The sequence below is a fragment of the Homo sapiens genome, chromosome 1 (genome assembly GCF_000001405.40).
Source record: "Homo sapiens chromosome 1, GRCh38.p14 Primary Assembly".
Classification (NCBI taxonomy): Eukaryota; Metazoa; Chordata; class Mammalia; order Primates; family Hominidae; genus Homo; species Homo sapiens.
The window spans coordinates 19,320,894-19,340,433 of record NC_000001.11 but is presented as its reverse complement, the minus strand read 5'-3'; the positions used below and the strand labels follow the sequence as shown (position 1 = coordinate 19,340,433).

General features: G+C 55.8%; 2 protein-coding genes across 23 annotated transcripts in view, besides 4 other annotated features; one reads left to right on the top strand and one right to left on the bottom strand.

The window, feature by feature from the left end:
• Nucleotides 1–1,659, top strand: part of CAPZB (capping actin protein of muscle Z-line subunit beta) — a 146,765-nt gene extending 145,106 nt beyond the window's left edge. For all 9 annotated transcript variants that reach the window (NM_004930.5, NM_001206540.3, NM_001206541.3 and 6 more), the window contains one exon: nt 817–1,659. In NM_004930.5, coding sequence (NP_004921.1) covers nt 817–904 — 88 coding nt within the window. In that variant the 3' untranslated portion in view covers nt 905–1,659. The remainder of the gene's footprint in view (nt 1–816) is intronic.
• Nucleotides 448–949: an enhancer, noted in NCBI's record as "H3K4me1 hESC enhancer chr1:19665979-19666480 (GRCh37/hg19 assembly coordinates)". NCBI's record gives its function as "activates a minimal SCP1, AML or CMV promoter by ChIP-STARR-seq in naive H9 embryonic stem cells {active_cell/tissue: H9 hESC(naive)}" and the evidence as "EXISTENCE:reporter gene assay evidence [ECO:0000049][PMID:30033119]".
• Nucleotides 2,116–3,080: an enhancer, noted in NCBI's record as "NANOG-H3K27ac-H3K4me1 hESC enhancer chr1:19663848-19664812 (GRCh37/hg19 assembly coordinates)". NCBI's record gives its function as "activates a minimal SCP1, AML or CMV promoter by ChIP-STARR-seq in primed H9 embryonic stem cells {active_cell/tissue: H9 hESC(primed)}" and the evidence as "EXISTENCE:reporter gene assay evidence [ECO:0000049][PMID:30033119]".
• Nucleotides 4,764–5,263: an enhancer, noted in NCBI's record as "H3K4me1 hESC enhancer chr1:19661665-19662164 (GRCh37/hg19 assembly coordinates)". NCBI's record gives its function as "activates a minimal SCP1, AML or CMV promoter by ChIP-STARR-seq in primed H9 embryonic stem cells {active_cell/tissue: H9 hESC(primed)}" and the evidence as "EXISTENCE:reporter gene assay evidence [ECO:0000049][PMID:30033119]".
• Nucleotides 5,264–5,765: an enhancer, noted in NCBI's record as "H3K4me1 hESC enhancer chr1:19661163-19661664 (GRCh37/hg19 assembly coordinates)". NCBI's record gives its function as "activates a minimal SCP1, AML or CMV promoter by ChIP-STARR-seq in primed H9 embryonic stem cells {active_cell/tissue: H9 hESC(primed)}" and the evidence as "EXISTENCE:reporter gene assay evidence [ECO:0000049][PMID:30033119]".
• Nucleotides 5,971–19,540, bottom strand: part of SLC66A1 (solute carrier family 66 member 1) — a 22,138-nt gene continuing 8,568 nt past the window's right edge. For 4 of the 14 annotated variants that reach the window (NM_001040125.2, NM_017765.3, NM_001040126.2 and 1 more), the window contains 6 exons: nt 15,672–15,801; nt 14,852–14,939; nt 14,047–14,189; nt 13,811–13,903; nt 13,022–13,207; nt 11,134–11,862 (listed from right to left, as the gene is read on the bottom strand). In NM_001040125.2, the coding sequence (NP_001035214.1) occupies nt 11,791–11,862; nt 13,022–13,207; nt 13,811–13,903; nt 14,047–14,189; nt 14,852–14,939; nt 15,672–15,801 (712 nt within the window). In that variant the 3' untranslated portion in view covers nt 11,134–11,790. Of the gene's footprint in view, nt 13,208–13,810; nt 13,904–14,046; nt 14,190–14,851; nt 14,940–15,671; nt 15,802–19,540 lie in introns of those variants that run through there. The other 10 variants (XR_001737253.2, XR_007061311.1, XR_001737254.2 and 7 more) reach the window with 7 other exon arrangements.

Genomic DNA, 19,540 nt, shown 5'->3' with positions numbered 1-19,540 from the left:
TGATGAGCGTCCCCACACATACGTGAATGCGGTCGCCCTGAACGTTTCCCCACAAATCCAGAATTTGACAGCAGGGATCCCAGGGGCACTTGGCTGTCCTGTGCCGCCCTTTGCAATCCGGGCTGAGGGGTTTTCTGGGCCAAGTTAACAGCGGATGGTGCCTCACAGCAGAGGCCTGAAAGCACCTGCTGCGTGGGCCATAAACACAGTGTGCTCAGACACGCAGAGACACTGGTTCTTACCCACTCCCAAGGGTGGGATAACGCTGCACCTTGCACTTGTGGGATGAGGAATGAGGCTCTTCTGCTGGGCAGGGCCTGGGCAAGGGAGAAGCTTTTATAGAGGAACCCGCATGGCCCCGGAGTCCTCCCCTCTTAGCCCCTGGCCTGAGTCCCCAGCCAGCAACCCAGGGTAGCTGTTCTGAAGCAGAGGGGCTTTGTTCCATTGTGTTTGGAAGCCCAGAAGCCACCTTGTGGCTTAGGGTGACATAGGGACCTACACACAGAGGAGTGAACTTAGGGTTCTAGGGACTATGGCCGGGTCACCGGTGGCCAGGGGCAGAGATGAGCACCTGTCCATGTAAGCCATATGCCACCCCCACAGGGCCTGGCAAGGTGCAGAGGGTGCAGGTCTCGGCCATGTACCCCTTTGCCCCTTTCTGAGAGGGGCAGATGCCCAGCCCAGTGACCCAGAGCCTCACCCCAGGAAGCGGGTCCATGCAGCAAATCAGCCAGGCACTGGCATGGTGGCCCCCAGGCCTCCACCGCCTCACCAGTCCCTGTTCAATCTGCTGATAACGCCTTTCCTCCCTTGCAGGTCTGTGCAGACTTTTGCAGACAAATCAAAACAAGAAGCTCTGAAGAATGACCTGGTGGAGGCTTTGAAGAGAAAGCAGCAATGCTAAACCTCTGTTTCATGCTAACCAGACACGCCGTGCACTCGTTAGATTCCTTTCTTAGAAAACTCGTTTTCTGCTCCCTTCCCTCGTCCCTTCCCTCCCCGACAGGTCACATAACAGCTGCATCATTGACCGCACAGCGCCATCTCTCCCTGAGAATAAAGCCGATAGCCACCCTCCTCCGGCTCCGAGCCTGCTTCTGCCACACCTCGCTCTCAGTTCTCTCCACATTTCCATAGAGACCGTGTGGTTTTTGTTCACCCGGGCCCCCCGTCTTCCTCCCTGTCCCCCCATTTATAGGCATAAAATCCACTGTCTGCCAGCCTCCCTTCCCTCCCACCTTTTTGGTACATTGGTGTAAAAAATGTAAAACAAAAAAATTTTATGAACTAACTGTGGTGTGTGAAAGAGAGAAGAAAAACTGGAAATCTTATTCCGTGTGTGTTTGGGAGTTGCTTGGGGTTGGGGGTCGTGGGGACAGGGGACAGCTCTGGGAGCAGAGGTGGCCCTCGGTGCCGTCCTGCGCAGACTCTCCCGTCCCACGGAGGCCGCGGGGTGGGGGCTGGGGGGGGTGCCGCCGACCGTTCCGCTCTTCCGGCCAGGTGCTTTTCTGTCAATTTCTATGGAATGCAAAAGGAGGTTTTTGTTTTATTTTGTTTTTTTGTAAAGCTTAAGAAAAAAATCTACATCTTATACTTGAGCCTCCATACTTAAAAAAAGAAAAGAAAAGAAATCAATAAAAAGAAACTGGGGCGCAGTTAGCGCTGGCCTTCTGTGTTCCTTCTCGCCGGCCTCGCTTTCCGAGCGCGTGTGGCCGTGGCCGTGCGCTGGCTCCAAGCTGGGACGCGTGTGGGCCCCGCTCACGGCAGCAAGGAAGTGTCCCGTCCCCAGCCCCGCCGCCCTGAAAACACCAGGTATGTGATGAGGTGCAGAGTCCCTGTCCCTTTCCGCCCTCTGCCGTTGGAGGGCAGAAGCACCAGCAAACACTGTTCTGGCGCCGCAGCACGCACCTCCCGCCGCCTTCCCACTGTGCCTAGTACAAATGTGAGGCAGCCGAGGTTCAGTTGCAGTAACTCAGCCAAGGCTGCACAGAGCCACAGAGTCTGCCTTCTACCCTCCAAACTGCCCCAGGGAAGATCTGAAGCAGATCTCAAAGTCCCTGCCGAGACCATCCCCCCATCTGTCCGTGGCCAATCAGCGGGCTCCACAACCTGGCCAGCCCATGTGTTTGAGGTCCCTGGGTCTGATGCAACATCTTTTTTTTTGAGACGGAGTTTCACTCTTGTTGCCCAGGCTGGAGTGCAATGGCATGATCTTGGCTCACTGTAACCTCCGCCTCCCAGGTTCAAGCGATTCTCCTGCCTCAGCCTCCTCAGTAGCTGGCATTACAGGCATGTGCCACCATGCCCAGCTAACGTATTTTTAGTAGAGACGGGGTTTCTCCTTGTTGGTCAGGCTGGTCTCGAGCTCCCGATCTCAGGTGACCCTCCCGCCTCCCAATGTGCTGGGATTACAGGCGTGAGCCACCGCACCCGGCCGATGCAGTATCTTTATGGAGTGCAAGTGCCATGGCATACAGACAGCAGAGAAGCCCCTGCCCCCTGAGTTCCTAGTGCCACGTGGAGAACGCAGGCACACTCCAGCCGTGAGCCATGAGGGGATGCACCCAGCGAGCCGTTCCCCATGGGCACACGGGTGTTGCAGCCTCCCGGGGTCATGTTGGCAAGGTGCCTGGCACACAGAAGGGCCCAGCGAGCTGTTCCCCATGGGCACACGGGTGCTGCAGCCTCCCGGGGTCATGTTGGCAAGGTGCCTGGCACACAGAAGGGGCTGGAAAAACAAATGTTTTGCTTTTCATTTTCTTTCATGGTAAAGTTTTATCCAGGATCATCAAGGTAGGTACAGGGGCCACTGCAGTGGGGTCTTGTGGATGGGGAGAGAGATTGGGCTCAACTCTGAGTGCAGCAGCACGGGCAGGTGGGGATTAGAGCCAAGGAGCAGAGGGGGGCAGTGGGTGGAAAATGACTCAGAGGAAACCTCAGGGGTCAGGGGTCTTCCGGCCAAACACACCTAACAGGATTCTTGCTGAAGACAGGCCAGGGTGACCAGACATCACCTGGGGGTGGGGGTGGAGGATGAGGCCAGGTGTGGTGGCTTACGCCTACGATCCCAGCACTTTAGGAGACCAAGTTGGGAGGATGGCTTGAGCCCAGGGCTTTGAGACTAGCCTGGTTAACATAGACCCCATCTCTACAAGAAATACAAACCAGGCGTGGTGGTGTGCACCTGTGGTCCCAGCTACTTGGGAGGCTGAGTTGGGAGGATCACTTGAGCCTGGGAGGTTGAGGCTGCAGTGAGCCGAGATCGTACCACTGTACTCCAGCCTAGAAGACAGTGAGATCCTGTCTCAAAAAAAGAAAAAAAATATCAAGGATGGCCGTTTTTGTAAAATTGACTTAGCAAGGGATTGCTGAAACTGGATTTTACAAGGGCACACAGGTGGGCCTAGGGGAAGGTTCAGGAGCCTGACTAAAGTTTGGCCAAGCAAATAATCTTTGGCAGTTGTCACTTCAAGAAGAAACTGGACAAATGGAAAATGCCTTTCCTTGGACACATGAGAGGAGCTGAGGTCGCAAGGGAAAAACAGCCACCCCTGAAGTCAGTGAGACAGGCACACCGGGAACGCCACAGCAGAGGCCTGCTGTCCTGCAGCAGAGGCTGCTAGGCTGGGAGCTGCTGTGCACGCCAGTGGTAATTCCACAGAACTGCAGAGGTGGAGTGGACTCTGACTCACCTGAGAGTCACCCCTGGAGGCTCAGGCCCGCTCTCCTCTCAGGGGATTTCCCTTCAGGAAACCCACCAGTTGCTCCTTGAGCTGTCACTTTCATCAGCCGTACAATCCTGGGACCAAAAATAATGCTTGAAACCCAGAAATTGTGACTGCGATGTATGACAGGCCTGATCTTGCTCTGCTATCTAGAATCTTCCACAGGGACCCTCACTACCAGTTGGGTTTTTTTGTTTTTGTAGAGACGGGCCCTCACCCTGTTGCCCAGGCTGGTCTCAAACTCCTGGCTTCAAGCGATCCCCCACCTCAGTCTCCCAAAGTGCTAGGATTACAGGTGTAAGCCACCACGCCCAGCCCTCATTGCTAGTGTTGTGTTGTTTTGTTTTATGATGGAGTCTTGCTCTGTCACCCAGGCTGGACTGCAGTGGCGTGATCTCGGCCCACTGCAACCTCCACTTCCCAGCTTCAAGCGATTCTCCTGCCCCAGCCTCTCAAGTAGCTGGGACTACAGGTGCCCGCCGCCACGCCCAGCTAATTTTTGTATTTTTAGTAGAGGCCGGGTTTCGCCATGTTGGCCAGACTGGTCTCGAACTCCCGAATTCAAGCGATCCCTCCCCCAACTTGGCCTCCCAAAGTACTGGAATTACGGGTGTGAGCCACCGCACACAGCCCTCACTGCTAGTGTTTTAATGCTAAACTCAGCTGGTGAGATTGGGGACAGTGGGCCTCGAGGATGTGTTTGGTGACCCTCTCCCACTTCCCAGCCATGCCTTTCCCTGCTCGTTCCTTGGCTGCCTGGTGAGGAAAGCTCTGGGGTCCAGCAGGGCACCTCGGGCATCCCTAAGAAGAGAACGAAGGCGTATGGGAGCCCCTGGGGTTCATGGGCTGCAGGCTACAGACTCCTGGGGTTTGGCAGCAGCAGAGATGTCCCCCACCCCAAGGGCTCACTAGATGCTTCCTGGAGGTCCCCTTGGTGCCAACTAACAGAAGGGGAGGCAGCCTTGGTGAGGGTCTCTCCAGGGCTGAGGGCTTAAGTGGGTAATCCAGGGGGTCCCTGTCTCTCTGAAGCCCTTTCATTCCTCCCTTGCTTGGCCTTAACAAATCAGCCTCCGGAGTCTGTTGTTGTTGTTGTTGTCTAGAGCCGTTTTTTGTTGTTGTTGTTGTTTGTTTGTTTGAGGCAGAGTCTTGCTCTGTCGCCCAGGCTGGAGTGCAGAGGTGCAATCTCGGCTCACTGCAACCTCTGCCTTCCGGGTTCAAGCGATTCTTCTGCCTCAGCCTCCCAAGTAGCTAGGACTACAGGCATGCGCCACCACTCCTGACTAATTTCTGTATTTTTAGTAGAGACAGTGTTTCACCATATTGGCCAGGCTGGTCTCAAACTTCTGACCTCGTGATCCGCCCGCCTCAGCCTCCCAAAGTGCTGGGACTATAGGTGTGAGCCACCGTGCCTGGCCTTTTCTTTTGAGACAGGGTCTCGCTCTGTTGCTCAGGCTGGAGTGCAGTGGTCTTACTGCAGCCTTGAACTCCCGAGCTCAAGCCCTCCTCCCGCCTTGGCCTCCCAAGGTGCTGGGATTGCAGGTGTGAGCCACTGCGCCCAGACTGAAGCCTTTCCTGAGGTTCTCCTGGGGCCCCAGGTTCAAGACTCCTAGTCTCCCAAGATTTTCTCCTGCATTCAGATTACTTTCTGGGTAACTGCTTTGTGGCAGGCCCTGGGCTAGTTGCACCCGAGGGTGTGGCACTCTCTCAGCAGGTGGGGTGATGCAGGCATTGTGGATTTTGCTAGGTGGGACAGCTCCTCTTTTTCTGGTGCCAAACCGCCCCCATGCCACCTGGGCACAGTACACTCAGGACACTCCCTCCTCCCCTGTGCATGACCCACACTGGGACAATGAAGACATTCTCTCTTGGCCAGGTGCGGTAGCTTACGCCTGGAATCCCAGCACTTTGGGAGGCCAAGGCAGGCGGATCACTTGAGCCCAGGAGTTCGAGACCAGCCTGGGCAACATAGCAAAACCCCATCTCTACTAAAAATACAAAAATTGGCCAGGTGTGGTGGTGCATCCTGTGATCCCAGCTACTCGAGAGACTGAGGCACGAGAATCACTTGAACCCGGGAGGCGGAGGTTGCAGTGAGCCATGATTGTGCCACTGCACTCTAGCCTGGGGAACACATCACGGCTGTCTCAAAAAAAGAAAAAAAAAAGTACGCCTCATTTCAAATACTATAAGTTAAATCCTGTAAATTAAATATCATGTAAGTTAAATATAAGATAAAACATTTCAATTTGTATTTTTCTCAATATAATGTTGCAAGATGTCATTATATTCTCATTACCCATAACTTCCCATCCAAATCTTAATGGCACATTTGGTATTTTTTCAAATGGCTTTGAGATATAATTCACATACCACACAATTCATGTATCTAAAGTATACAGTTCTGTAGTTCTGTGGTTGTTGGTTACATCCACCAGACTGAGGGCTCCCTGAGGGTTGGTGCCTCAGCTTTCCCTTCACTTACTCATTCACCAAACATTCAGCGCCTACTGAGTACTGGGGTTATGATGGCCAACAGGAGAGACAGTCTCTGCCTACTGTTTGGTGGGGGTGGAGTACTTAGTAACCGTCGTCATTATTGAGTGCTTACCTGTGCTGGGCACAGTGCTGCTACTGGGTGACTGTGTCCCCAGGGCTGTCCCAGGCTGGGGGCCTGGAGGAGTAGTTATCAGTTGAACTGAGTTAATCCACGGTGGAAGGTAACCCACTCCCTGCCCTAGGGCCAATGCTAAGCAGATCCAGGTTTTCCTGTGTTTTGTTTTGTTTTGTTTTGTTTTGTTTTGTTTTGTTTGAGACAAGGTCTCTGTCACCCAGGCTGGAGTGCAGTGGTGCTGTCTTGACTCACTGCAGCCTTGACCTCCAGGGCCCAAGCAATCCTCCCACCTTAACCTCCCAGGTAGCTAGGTCTACAGGTGCACACCACCACGTTGCCCAGGCTGGTCTTGAACTCAGCTTACGCAATCCACCTGCCTCAGCCTCCCAAAGTGTTGGGATTCCAGGCATGAGTCGCCTCACCTGGCCAGTGGATCAGTTTAAAGCTTTACCATCTGGGGTAGTTGAGGCTCTGCACCTGGCTGTCACCCGGCACCTCTGGGGTCCCGTCATTCAGCTCCGATGAAAGCCAAGTCACACAGACAGAAAGGGTGGAGAGTGGTGAAGGTTGTGGCTTTCTCCCCTTCCTCGGCTTCAGGAATGGAAGGCCATGTCGTCTTGGCTGTGGCTTCAAAACCCTGGAATCCCAGCAAATTTGGGAGGCTGAGGTGGGAGGATCACTTGAGCTTAGGAGTTTGAGAACAGCCTGCTGGGCAACATGGCGAAACCCCATCTCTACCAAAAATACAAAAACTAGCTGGGCGTGGTGGCACTCAAGTGGGAGGATCACTTGAGCCCAGGAGGTGGAGGCTGCAGTAAGCCAAGATCGTACCACTGCACTCCAGCCTGGGTGACGGAGTGACTCTGTCTCAAAACAAAAACAAAAAACCAGGTTTGATAACTAATGGGACCTTGGGGCTGAGAGAGCCAGGGAGGGCGCGGGGTCCAGTGCTCGGCACAGGGCTGCCAGGACCATCCCTTCTGCTTTGCTGGAGAACGCCACCAGCTAAGCAACCAGCTTTTCTGTCCCATCCCATCCCCGGAACCTGAGGAAGCGAAGCAGCGTGTGTGCACAGCACTGGGCCAGGCACTGCGCATGTCACTTCCCCATACAGTGTCTCGTTCAACAGGTAAAACAGAACCTGCCAAGGCGGGGACCTCTGGGGGTGCCTGGCCCAACCTCATGCTCCATGTGGGCGTCCTAAGGGAGCCAGCCCTTCCTGGACAAGGGCAACTGGTAAGCGTGGTTCCATTTCCTTGATCACACCAAACTGTCCACACTTTTCCCTTCAGGCCACACCTGGAGACAAGCATCCTGCCATCCCATGACCTGCAGGAAGGAGCAGGAGGTGTAAGCCAGGGAGAAAGGGAAGCCACCTGTGGAGGCGTTTAACTTGGTAACATGTTTGCCCACCATCAGCAAACACGGCCCCATCAGTATGGCAGAATCCCATCGATGAGATTCGCCTTTATTGTAATTTTTTAAATTTTTGTAGAGATGGGGTCTTGCTATGTTGCCCAAGTTGGTCTTGAACTCCTTGGCTCAAGTGATCCTCCTGCCTCAGCCTCCCAAAATGCTGGGAATACAGGCGTGAACCACTGCACCCGGCCTTGGCCCTTCTCTTTGTGAGGAACCTGGGGGAGGTTCCAGGCATTGGTAAGCCCCCTGATGACAAGCAAATATAGCCATTGTTTATTTACCAGGCACTTACTGTGTGCCAGGTGCTGGGACACGAGCCTCCGTGCTCATCTTGATCACGGCTATGTTCTGAGGCAGACAGTGTTGTTGGTCTCATGGGATGAAGAAACGGCTTCGGACATCTGCTCAAGTCACAAGGCTCAGTGGCTGGGGCACACTTGGAGCTCAGTGTGCAGGACACAAAGTCTGTGCTCCCCGTCACCTGCCTCCAGCATCAGAATGTCACCAGCTCCTTCAACAGGGCTCCAGGGACCCAGGCCACCAAGTTCTTCCAGCCCCAACAGTTTGAATCCTCCTTGGGGCGCTGGAATGAGGCCTCCAAGGGAGAGGAGACTCAGGTTTGGATGAGCTGCAGGCCAGGTGCTCTCTGAAGGTAGGGGCTGTATCGCCTCCATCACACAGGGCACTCCCCAGGGGGAGGGGCCATGTCTTCCCCATCAGATTGGAGGCCTCCTGAGGAAGGAACCATAGCTCCTGCCTGAAAGTGCTATCACCCCAAAAGCTGGTGTTTCCCAGGAGGAAGGGATTATGTCACCCCATCAGAGAAGGGCCTCCAAGCAGGGGCTATGTTATCCCATCTCACTCTTCCCCACCCGGCCCCAGTTCAGGACCACACTTGGGGCTCATGTGGCTATACTGTGCCCCCAGATCTTCAGGCTGGAAGGGCACCTACTGGTCCCAGGTAACTGGTGTGGAGCCAGGTCCCAGACCCAGGTGGAGCGAGACATCTAGCTGGCACCTGAGGCAGGCACAGGCCAGGGCAAGCTGGGGCTTCGGGCCTGGGGGTAACTTATCCTGAAATCTCGGCAGGGCCAGAGGCTCAGCAAAGTCGCTATTCAGGATGGTGAGAAGGGAGCCTGGGTCCAGCAGGGTTCGGGCCACTCCTGAGGGTGAAGCTGAACTGCCACAAGCCATGGGCCCCCAGCAAGGATGGAGGAAGGGGACACGGGCCGCCAGCGTTGGCCAGGTGTGGGGTGGCTCCCAAAGCTGGAGGGTCTCGTGTTGCTGCTGCTCCTAGCTGGGCAAGCTGCTCAATTGTGCTGAGACTGTTCTCCCATCTGTAAAATGGCCATAAAAATACTCCCATCTTGGCCGGGCGCGGTGGCACACCTGTAATCCCAGCACTTTGAGAGGCTGAGGCAAGCAGATCACCTGAGGTAAGGAGTTCGAGACCAGCCTGGCCAACATGGTGAAACCCCGTCTCTACTAAAAATACAAAAATTAGCTGAGCGTGGCGGCAGGCGCCTGTAATCCCAGCTACTTGGGAGGTTGAGGCAGGAGAATCGCTCGAACCCGGGAGGCGGAGGTTGCAGTGAGCTGAGATCGCACCATTGCACTCCAGCTTGGGCGGCAGAGCAAGACTCTGTGTCAAAAAAAAATAAAAACTCCCCCATCTCAGAGCTGGCTGTGAAGACGGGGAGATCTCGTGCACTGATGGCAGGCGGCGCAGCCCGCACATGGCAAGTGTGCAACTAACAGCTGCATGCCAGATGGCATCCTGGGCTCCGTGGGTGTCCCCTAGGGGGACAGGGCAGGGGAGACTGGCCCTCTCTGCCCACCTGGGTCTCAGAGGTGTGCCTTGCCTCCTCTCTCTAGCAAAAGGCTCTTCACCCGACCAAACCCCATCACCTGCTGCTGGGCTGCTGCTGGGTGTGCCCCAGGACCTTGTCCTTGGCATTGGTGTGGCTTTCAAGGCTCCTTGTAAGCAGCCCCACCTTGGAAGCACCCGAGACACCCACCTCCAGGCCTCTGTACCTGCCCCTCCCTTTTCCTGAACTGCCCTCCCCTCTGCCTTCAAGATCCAGCTCAAAGGCCACTCCTCTGAGAAGTCCTCCCTGATTGACCCTCCTGGGGCTGGTCTCATCTGCTCATTTCCTGACATTTCTACCTTCTGGTCATGGTAACCATCTCCTCTCCTGGAAGGCAGGGCCTTGGAGCTGGTTCACCACAGCCCCGGTGTCTGACACAGCAAAGGCTGAGTGGAGGGCTGTGCTCACAAAGGATCTGCGGCACCAGAATGGCCATGGCACCGTTTCCCTTCTCCGGGGCTGGGAAGGGAGATCCTAAAGGCAAGGCCCACTCTGGGACGCAGCGTCTCTCCCCAAGACTACCCCACCAGATACCCCAAGTCCCTGGTTCTGGTTTTCCACAGCTAGGGTTGGGTGTGTGGGGTGAGATCAGGCCAACAAGGTGGGGAGCTGGCGTCTCTGTGCTCCAGGCACCTGAGGGTCATGACCCCCAGGAAAGTGGAATCAGAACAGGGTCTGGAGCCAGGCATGGTGGTGCTCATCTGTAGTCCCAGCTCCTCGGGAGGCTGAGTGGGAGGATCCCTGGAAGCTAGGAGTTCGAGGCTGCAGTGAGCTATGATCGCACCACTGTACTCCGGCCTGGGCTAAAAAATTTTAAAAATAAAACAGGGTCTGGACAACACTGAGTTTGCGGGTCCAGGAAGCACTCGGAGCTCAGCTCTGCCCTCCTCTCCACTCTCCCACCTTGCTCCTGTACCCGCCACTTCTTCCTCCTGCCTTCAATCCTCCCTCTTTCCCTGTGATATCTCCCGCTCATCCTTCTGACCTATCACCTCCTCCAGGAGGCTCTCCCTGATCTCCAAGATCTGGTTGCTCCTCTTCTCCAACTAAAAGTCCTCAAAACTAACCTTTATTGAGCCCTTACTATGCGCCAGATCTGGGGCTAAACTCCATAATGTCAGCATCTTATGTAATCCTTGAAAGGACACAGGAAATGACAGTACTGTCCATTTCACAGATGAGATAAGCTAGGCACTGAGGAACTGCGATGGAGAACCCAGATCCAACAGAACCTTAACCATTCTGCTTCTTCCTGAACACCGAGGGGCAGGCTCCCCGTGGGGAGTCACTCTCCCTGCTATGTCCCCACAGTAAGGTGTGGGGCCTGTCAGGAAAGGGCCCGGAGAAGCAGGCTAAAGAAACCAGAGGCCCCAGGAGGCTGGGCCAGGGCTGCAGGCAGATGCGGTCCCCTCTGCTCAGCTCGTCCTGAATCCCCATCCACATCCACCGCTGGTCCCCAAAGCAGCCCCGATCCCTCAGCACCTTGGGGAAGGAGCAACAGAAGCAGGTCTCATGGGGAGGTACCGTTTCCTCGGTTATCTTTTTTATTTTTTTGAGACGGAGTCTCACTCTGTCACCCAGGCTGGAGTACAGTGGCACGATCTCGGTTCACCGCAACCTCTGTCTCCCAGGTTCAAACAGTTCTCCTGCCTCAGCCTCCCAAGTAGCTGGGACTACAGATGTGTGCCACCACACCTGGCTAATTTTTGTATTTTTAGTAGAGATGGGGTTTCACCATGTTGGCCAGGCTGGTCTCGAACTACGGACGTCAAGTGGTCCACCCGCTTCGGCCTCCCAAAGTGCTAGGATTACAGGTGCGAGCCACTGTACCCGGCCTGTTTATTCAGTTGTCTGGAGTTGACAGGACAGTCCTGAGTCCAGCAGGCTGTGGCTGTGGCCCCTGGGGTGAGTAGGCAGAATGAGGTAGGTGGTAGGAGGGGCAGCCTCACTGTCTCCTGAGAGGCCCTGGGGTCTCCGCTCCAGCCCCGGCCTTGAGGCTTCGGGGTCTACCTGAAGGTGTGTTCCTGGGGGGACGGTTCGGTCCACGGAGGATCCAGAGGCCACCCGCAGGCTGATGCAGGGCCGCCGTACCATCACTGTCCACACCTCCTCCTGCCTGGTGTGGCATCCGGTGGTGCCTGTCCTCCTGCGCTCAGCCTGGTTCTGGTCAGCTGGGGAGGAGGGGCTCAAGCTCCGAGGCGGCGGTGCTGCGCCTGTACACCAGGAACTGGATGGAGATCTGGGGGTGCCGCCGTTAAGGCCAAGCTGAGCAGAGACTGGGTTGGACCTGCCCCTGGGGGCCTTCGACTCCTGGGAGCTGCCTCCCTCTCCCCTCCCTCCCACCCCCACGCTGCAGGTGGGAAGGGCCAGCCATAACCTCCCAGCCGCTACCTTAGCTGTGCCCTCCACTCAGAACTTCTGCCCGGCTCCTCAAGCCCTAGCCAAGCTCCATCTGTCTCCAAGCCTAGCACTGACTTCTCCTTCCCGTGGGCAGCCTCCCTTGACCCTGGCCCAGGATCTTCGCTTGCTCTCAGCTGTGGCGTCCTGGAGGCTTCCAGGTGGCTGGGCCGTTTTGGGGCACAAGAGCCTAAACTTTCACCCCTCCCTGCGCCCGGCAGGGACTTAACAAATATTAAAACAAAGGCCATGTTTACTTGCTCCGAAATGAGACCCAGGTAACGCTCTTTACAGCCATTCAGCAAACACTTTCTGAGCCCTCACTGAAAACGGGGTCCTGTGGGGAGTGTTTCCAGATACCTCATCTTACACAACATCCTGACGAGACAGTGGCTGTTAACTGAGGTGAAGACACGGCAGCACAGAGAGGTTGACTGTGTGCCCTGCGTCACACAGCTAGGAAGCAGGGGAGGAGCCAGGATTTGAACCCAGGTTTGTCTGACCAAGTCATGTGTCTCTCCACACTCCAGCTCTCGTCTGCACAGCCTAGAACATTCCTCTCCTGCCTTCGCCTGACTTCTCCTACTCTGTCAAGTCACAGGTTCAATGAGACTTATAGGGGCCTTTGCTGCCCCTCTAACCAGGACGGTCCCTGGCTAGACGCTCTTGTTGTTTTTCTCTGCAGCACTTGGTGCCACTGCAATGAAGTAATTCTTTGATGATAGCGTTGTGTCCTCTCTGCGCCCCGCTGGGCTGTAAGCTTCTGGGGCACTCATGGCTGTTCTTGCTCACTCACGGCTCCAGGGTCCAGCTGGGTGCCTGGCACACAGGAGGTGTGCACGACTGGGTGAACAGATGGAGGGAGGGAGGGAGGGAGGGAGGGATGGATGGATGGACGGATGGATGAAGGGAGGAAGAGACGGATGAGTGCTGACGCTGTGTGCAGGCAGAAGCTTCCTTGCCCACACCCCGCCACCTGCCCCACACGCCCTGAAGGATACGATGGTGTCGAGCAGCAGCACGCCCAGGCTGCCCACAAGCCAGGGCAGGTGGTGCAGCAGGTAGCTGCCCTCGCTCTGGCCCTCCTCGGGGTTTTTGAGCAGCACGCTCAGCCCATACAGCGTGTTCCCCAGCATCACCAGCGCGAACAGAGAGTAGGAGATCCCCTGGGTGGACTTCCGGAGGAACTGGGGCAGGAGGAGGTCAGGTCAGAGACCTCGAACAGGCCTCTTGTCACTCTGGATTGTAACTGTCCACATGTCCACCTGCCCCACCACAGTGCACCTGCTCTGAGCCAATCTTTCCCTGGGTGCCCAGGGATATGGGCCCGACACACAGAAGAGCCTCCTCCCACCCACAGACAAGCCCCCCCAGGCCCCTGCCCAGGTCCACGGGAGACCGTGGCTGTGCCAGGCCTGTGGCCCCACACCACCCTGCATTCCACCCCACACAGGCTCTAGCTGCCCAGCAAGCCTCCCCTCCCCGACTCCCCAGCTTCTCCTCTCCCCTCAGGCCTCCAAGCTCAGCCCCTCACCTTCCCCTGACCTCCCACTCCCCCAAGACACACATGGGCCTCTTGTAGCCTGGCTGGCAGGCCACGCCACGCCCATTTTCCAGAAGCAGAAATGGAGGCTCGGAGATTGGATTAACTTGCCCAAGCCAACAGCGGGAGTAGACCAGACTTTCTGAACCAAGGCTCCTATGCTGTGCTACTCCTTAGCCCAGAGGGCCCGGGTGGCCAGGCCAGCTCTCCTCTACTCGGCCCCACCCAGCCCCTGCTGGAGGCTCACGTTGGTGCGGATCTGAGGCAGCCGGGAAAGCAGGTACAACACGCTGGAGATGGAGCCGATGACGAAGCCAATGACTTCCTGCCGGGTGAAGGGCTGTGGGGCAGAAGGGGGCACTTGGTGTCTCGTAGGAGCCAGAGGTGATCCCCCACCCCATTTAGCACCCATGAGGCTGTGCAGGGGAGAGCCCTGGGGATGAGCCAGCCTCCATCCCTTCGACCGCCACGCCCACGCCTCACCTTGCTGCCCGACTCCACGGACAGGAGCGCCCGCCCCCGGAAGGCTTCCCTAGGGGCAGCCACGGGCCCAGCAGCACTCAGCAGCGGTGTGGCGCACGCCATCCCCATGAGGAACAACAGCACGGAGTTGATGGGGGCAGACACTGCACACAAGGCAGGGGGAAGCTGAGGTTAGATGGCTGAGTGGCAGCGGTTGTCGGGGGAGGGTGCTAAGTCCTGGCCTTGCCCCTCAGGGGCTGTGTGACCTTGGGCAAGTGACCTAACCTCTCTGAGCTTTCATTCTTCATCTGTCGAATGGGTACAACAACAGTACCCTTCTCCTAGAGTTATAAAGGTGAAACGCTGAGGGCAGGGAGGTCAGGAGGGGGTTACACGAAGCAGGAACGCTGATGAGACAACTTCCTCCCCAGGTCCCTCCCCGTGTCTGTATAGCCTCAAGCTGACCTTGTCTCCTGCTCCTCCTGAAGGCTGGGGCAGAGGCAGCCTGTGTGACTTGCCCTCGTTTCCCCAGCTCCAAGCCCAGGGCCGGACACAGAGGAGGAGCTGGAGCTGTGTCTGCTGAATGAGCCCCTGGGCGAGAGGAACCGGCCTGTGGTCTGGGCCAGGACGCGCTCACTGCCCTCAAGCCTCTATCTTGGCCAGTTAAGGCTCAGGCTCTTAGATAAGGCCCGGGGAAGGCTTTCCGAGGTTTGGGTTATCACCCAGCCATGGGAAACCCGCTTCCTCCCACACTCCAGGCGCCCCCCCCCACAACTGCCCCCTGCTGCTGGTAGAGCATCTGACAGAGAGCGGTCCCCATACTCACACAGAGAGGGGCGCGTCCTGAACTTGTAGTAAAAGTACAGCGTCAGCATCACCAGGTCTGCCAAGACATAATACACAGCCGTGTAGGTCTGTAAGAGATGCAGGGGGCCCAGGGGTTGGCGCAGTCCCAGGATCTGAGACCACGCCCCGGCAGCCCTCTGTCATATCCCAGCTGGGTGACCCGGACCAAGTCACTTCTCCTCTCTGAGCTTCTGTTTCCTTATCTGGCAAGGAAGAACTCCCAGTTCCCACCTGGCAGAATGACAGAACAGGTGGGCGAAAGACCCAGGAAAGGATCTAGCCCAGGAGGGGCCAATGAGCTGGTGGTCAGCGCTAGCAGTCAGGACAAAGTGGGACTCCGCGGTGAAGTGATGGCTCTGGTTTGGCCTGACACCAGGGCAGTCAGAACTTTCTGGTCCCACATGGGAAGACAATGCCTTCCTGATTGGGAGCCCCAGCTCTGCCTGCCCACAGGAGCAGGATGGCATCTGGGCCTCCCACGGAAAAACTCCCTTTCTCCTCGAGGGGCCCACCCTCTGAAAGCTTCGCCAGCACTCCAGCACCCTGGAGGTGGAAGACCCCGAAACCTTCCTGTTAGACATGCTCATATTGCAGATGGGGAAACTGAGGCCCAGAGAAGAGCAGTGACCTGCCCACAGTCACAGTTCGGCAGACAGAAGGATGGGGCCCTCCCACAAGATGGAATGACGGGTCAGGGTTCTGGAGACCAGGCGGGCCAAAGAGCCTGGCATCTCCTCAGGCAACCCTGCAGGGTGAAGCAGGGTTAGGGGTAGCGCCACCTTGCCCGGGTACCGGCCCACCTGCAGGGGCAGCTGGTCAGCAAGGAAGGAGCCGATGAGGTTGCAGGAGTCTCCGCCAATCCAGCCCAGGAGGAACCACAGGGACAGCGCCTGGTCCATGTTGCCCGTCTTGTAGGCTTTGATGAACTGGCTGTGGAAGAGGAAGAGGAAGGGATGCATGCTCAGGCCACCTTACAGGGGATGCCGCCTTATAGGGGACACCGCCCAGAGGAGACGACCATGGGGATCGAGGCGGCGATGGAGAGGAAGTGGCCTGGCGGCCCATCCTCCCCACGGGCGGGATCCTCAGAAGCCTTCTCGGCCCTTTGGAGGAGTCCCCTGGGGAATCCCTTCTAAGCCGAGGACTCTACGGCTGTGCATCTCTCCAGGGAAAGCCGCAGCCTTACTCAGATTCTCCTCTACCACACCCTGGGGTCTCCAGTGGGGATCTGGGGCTTATGTAGGGTCCTGAAGTTTTGTGTTGGGCCCTGACAACCGCTGCATAGAACCCTGGATCCTTTCTCCTGTGGATGCAGGGAAGGGCATTGCAACAAGAACAGTGCTGGGAAAGGGACGTGCGGGCCGAAGGCCTGGGCACGCCGGGTCTCCAGGAGCAGCTGTAGCCAAGACAGGCAGAACCCCAGCCCAGTTCTCTTTAGAGGGCAACAGAGAAGGGCGGGGCTGAGGCGCCTGGAGCTCCACTATCAAGGTAGTAGGCTTTTGGTCCCCTGGTTGTTTTCCCAAAGGTCCTTGGTGCTGGGACCCTCTTAGGACTTCTGGCCAGGTGTGGGTACGAGGCCAAAGCTGGCGGTGGCACTAAGGCCCAGGGCAGTTCTGAGCCCTCTGCATGTGTGTTGACTCATTCTGTCCTCAAGACACCTGTGCTGTCCAGTCTACCACGATGACCTCCTCACTGGGCCTGGAGGAAGCCGTGCCATACCACTCGGATTCAACCCCTACCTGAGCCTCCGGTCTTGCTCTTAACCATTATACATACTGCCATTTACTGTTCCAGTTTCTCTTTAACCACCTGCATGCATGAAGGAAAACAGACAGACAGAAAGAAACTAAATGGTGGCCAGACACGGTTGGCTCACACCTGCAATCCCAACACTTTGGGAGGTTGAGGAGGGTGGATCACTTGAGGCCAGAAGTTCGAGACCAGCCTGGCCAACATGGTGAAACCCCATCTCTACCAAAAATACAAAAATCAGCCAGGCATGGTGGCGCACGCCTGTAATCCCAGCTGTTCAGGAGGCTGAGGGATGAGAATTGCTTGAAGCCAGGAGGTGGAGGTTGCAGTAAGCCGAGATCACACCACTGCACTCCAGCCTGGGCAACAGAGCAAGACCCTGTCTCAAAAAAGAAAATAAAAAGAAACAAAGAAACTAACTAACTAAATGGCAGCTCATCCCATCCATTATCCAAGCCAGAAACTAAGAAACCGGCATTCTTCCCACAGCGAGTCCTTCCACCTGCCTCCCTCAGCCTCCTAACAAGCCTCCCTCCTTTCAGAAATCTTTCATCCTCCCTTTCAGAAATCTTTCTAAAACCCCCATCTCAGCCAGAAGCAGTGGCTTATGCCTATAATCCCAACACTTTGGAGGCTGGGTGTGGTAGCTCACACCTGTAATCCCAGCACTTCAGGAGGCTGAGGCAAGAGAATCACTTGAGCCTACAAGTTCAAGACCAGCCTGGGCAACACAGCAAGACCCTGTCTCTACCAAAAAAAAAAATTAGCCAAGTGTGGAGTGGGGACCTGTGGTCCCAGCTACTCAAGAGGCTGAGGTGGGAGGATCACTTGAGCCCAAGAGGTTGAGGCTGCAGTGAGTTATGAATGCACCACTGCACTTCAGACTGGATGACACAGTGAGACCTTGTCTCAAAAAAAAAAAAAATTGTCTTTAATAACAAATAAAAAACTAAAACCCCAGTGTCACCAAAAACTGCCAGAGCCTTCCAGTGCTCTTGGATAAAGGCCCCCATTCTGTGAGGGGATCCTTGCAAGGCCCCAGGCTCGCCGCCCCAGGATGGCTCTCTTCCTCCCAGCTCTGGTCTCAGATGTCCCGCTCACCCCTCCTCAGGCCCAGAGACCTCGGAGTCATCTTTCCCGTCTCAGGAAATGTCGGTTCCTCCTCTGGGCCTCCCCGACACGAGCTCCGCTGGCATCTTCTCCTTCCTCCTTTGAAACACTTGACATCCCCGTCCCTCCCAGATTCCCTCAAGTTTCCTGAGGACAGGGGGAGTGACTAGCATAGGCCCAGCACTGAGAAGGCCCTTAATCAAGGTTTATCCCTTACAGTAAAGCTCCTCCTAAGATGCTATGACTCGACTTGTCTTCATCAATTGCAGGAAAGTGATTCTGTCCCACTCAGGAGAGACTGAGTCCTAGGGAAGACCAGGGGGGCAGCCACCCTCTCTCCATCACTTAGGGCTCTCTCCCAGGCCTCCAATCCCCTCCCTGGTTAATCAACCAGCCCAGGCAGAAAGGGGGATCCTCAGCCAGCAACTCGGATAGTCCTGAGGAAGCTCTCACCCCTGGACAGGGAGCCTCCCGCCCCCGGCCCCATCAGTCACCTACACCCGTCCAGTCTGTCTGGTGAGGGCCTCTCCAATCCCCCCACCACTGATGCTTGCTGAAGGCTTCCACAGCCTCCAAGGTGGCCTCCCTGCCTCCACTCTCTCTCTGTCACTCTGCTCCTTCCTCCCCGTCACTCCCAGATTATCTTTTCAAGGGTACCAGAATGGAAGCTCTCCAAAGGCAAGGACAGTGTCTGTTTAGCTTACTTGCACCACACCCAACAGGCACCTGGAACAAGGTAACTCAGTAAAAACATCAAGCCTCTGATAGGGTGCCCAGAGAAATCAATGGGGAAGGACAGTCTTTCCAACACCTGGCGCTGGGACAAGTGGATATCCACATGTGTGGTGGCTCATGCCTGTAATCCCAGCACTTTTGGAGGCTGAGGCAGGTAGACCACCTGAGGTCACGAGTTCGAGACCAGCCTAGCCAACATGGTGAAACCCCATCTTTACTAAAAATGCAAAAATTTGCCAGGCATGGTGGCACATGCTTGTAATCCCAGCTACTCAGGAGGCTGAGGTAGGAGAATCACTTCAGCCCAAGAGGAGGATGTTGCAGTGAGCTGAGATCGCACCACTGCACTCCAGCCTGAACAACAGAGCAAGACTGTGTCTCAAGAAAAAAAAAAAAAATGAGGTTGGACTCCTACTTCACATCATTTACAAAATGGATCAAACACCTAAATGTAAGAGTTACATCTTTGTAACACTTAGAACAAGAGATGCTGGGCACAATGGCTCATGCTTGAACCCCAACACTTTGGAGGCTGAGACAGGAGGATTGCTTAAATCTAGGAGTTTGAGACCAGCCTGGACAATACAGTGAGACCTTGTCTCTACCAAAAAAAAAAATTTCAATTAGCAAGGTTTAGTGGTGCACGTCTGTGGTCCCAGTTACTCAAGAGGCTGAGGTGGGAGGACTGCTTGAGCGCAGAAGGTCAAGGTTGCAATGAGCTATGTGATCACACTACTGCACTCCAGCCTGGGGGACAGAGTATGACCGTGTCTCAAAAAAAAAAAAAAAAAAAAAAGAAGAGATAAGGATAAATCTTTGTTATCTGCATTTGGCAGTGGTTTCTTAGATATGACACCAAAACCACAAGAAACAAAAGAGAAAAAATAAACTGGACATCATCAAAATTTAAAATTTTTATGCTTCAAAGGACACCATCAAGAAAGTGAAAAGACGGCCGAGCAGGGTGGTTCACAGTTGTAATCTCAGCACTTTGGGAGGCTGAGGCAGGCAGATCACCTGAGATCAGGAGTTTGAGACCAGCCTGGCCAACATGGTGTAACCCTGTCTCTAC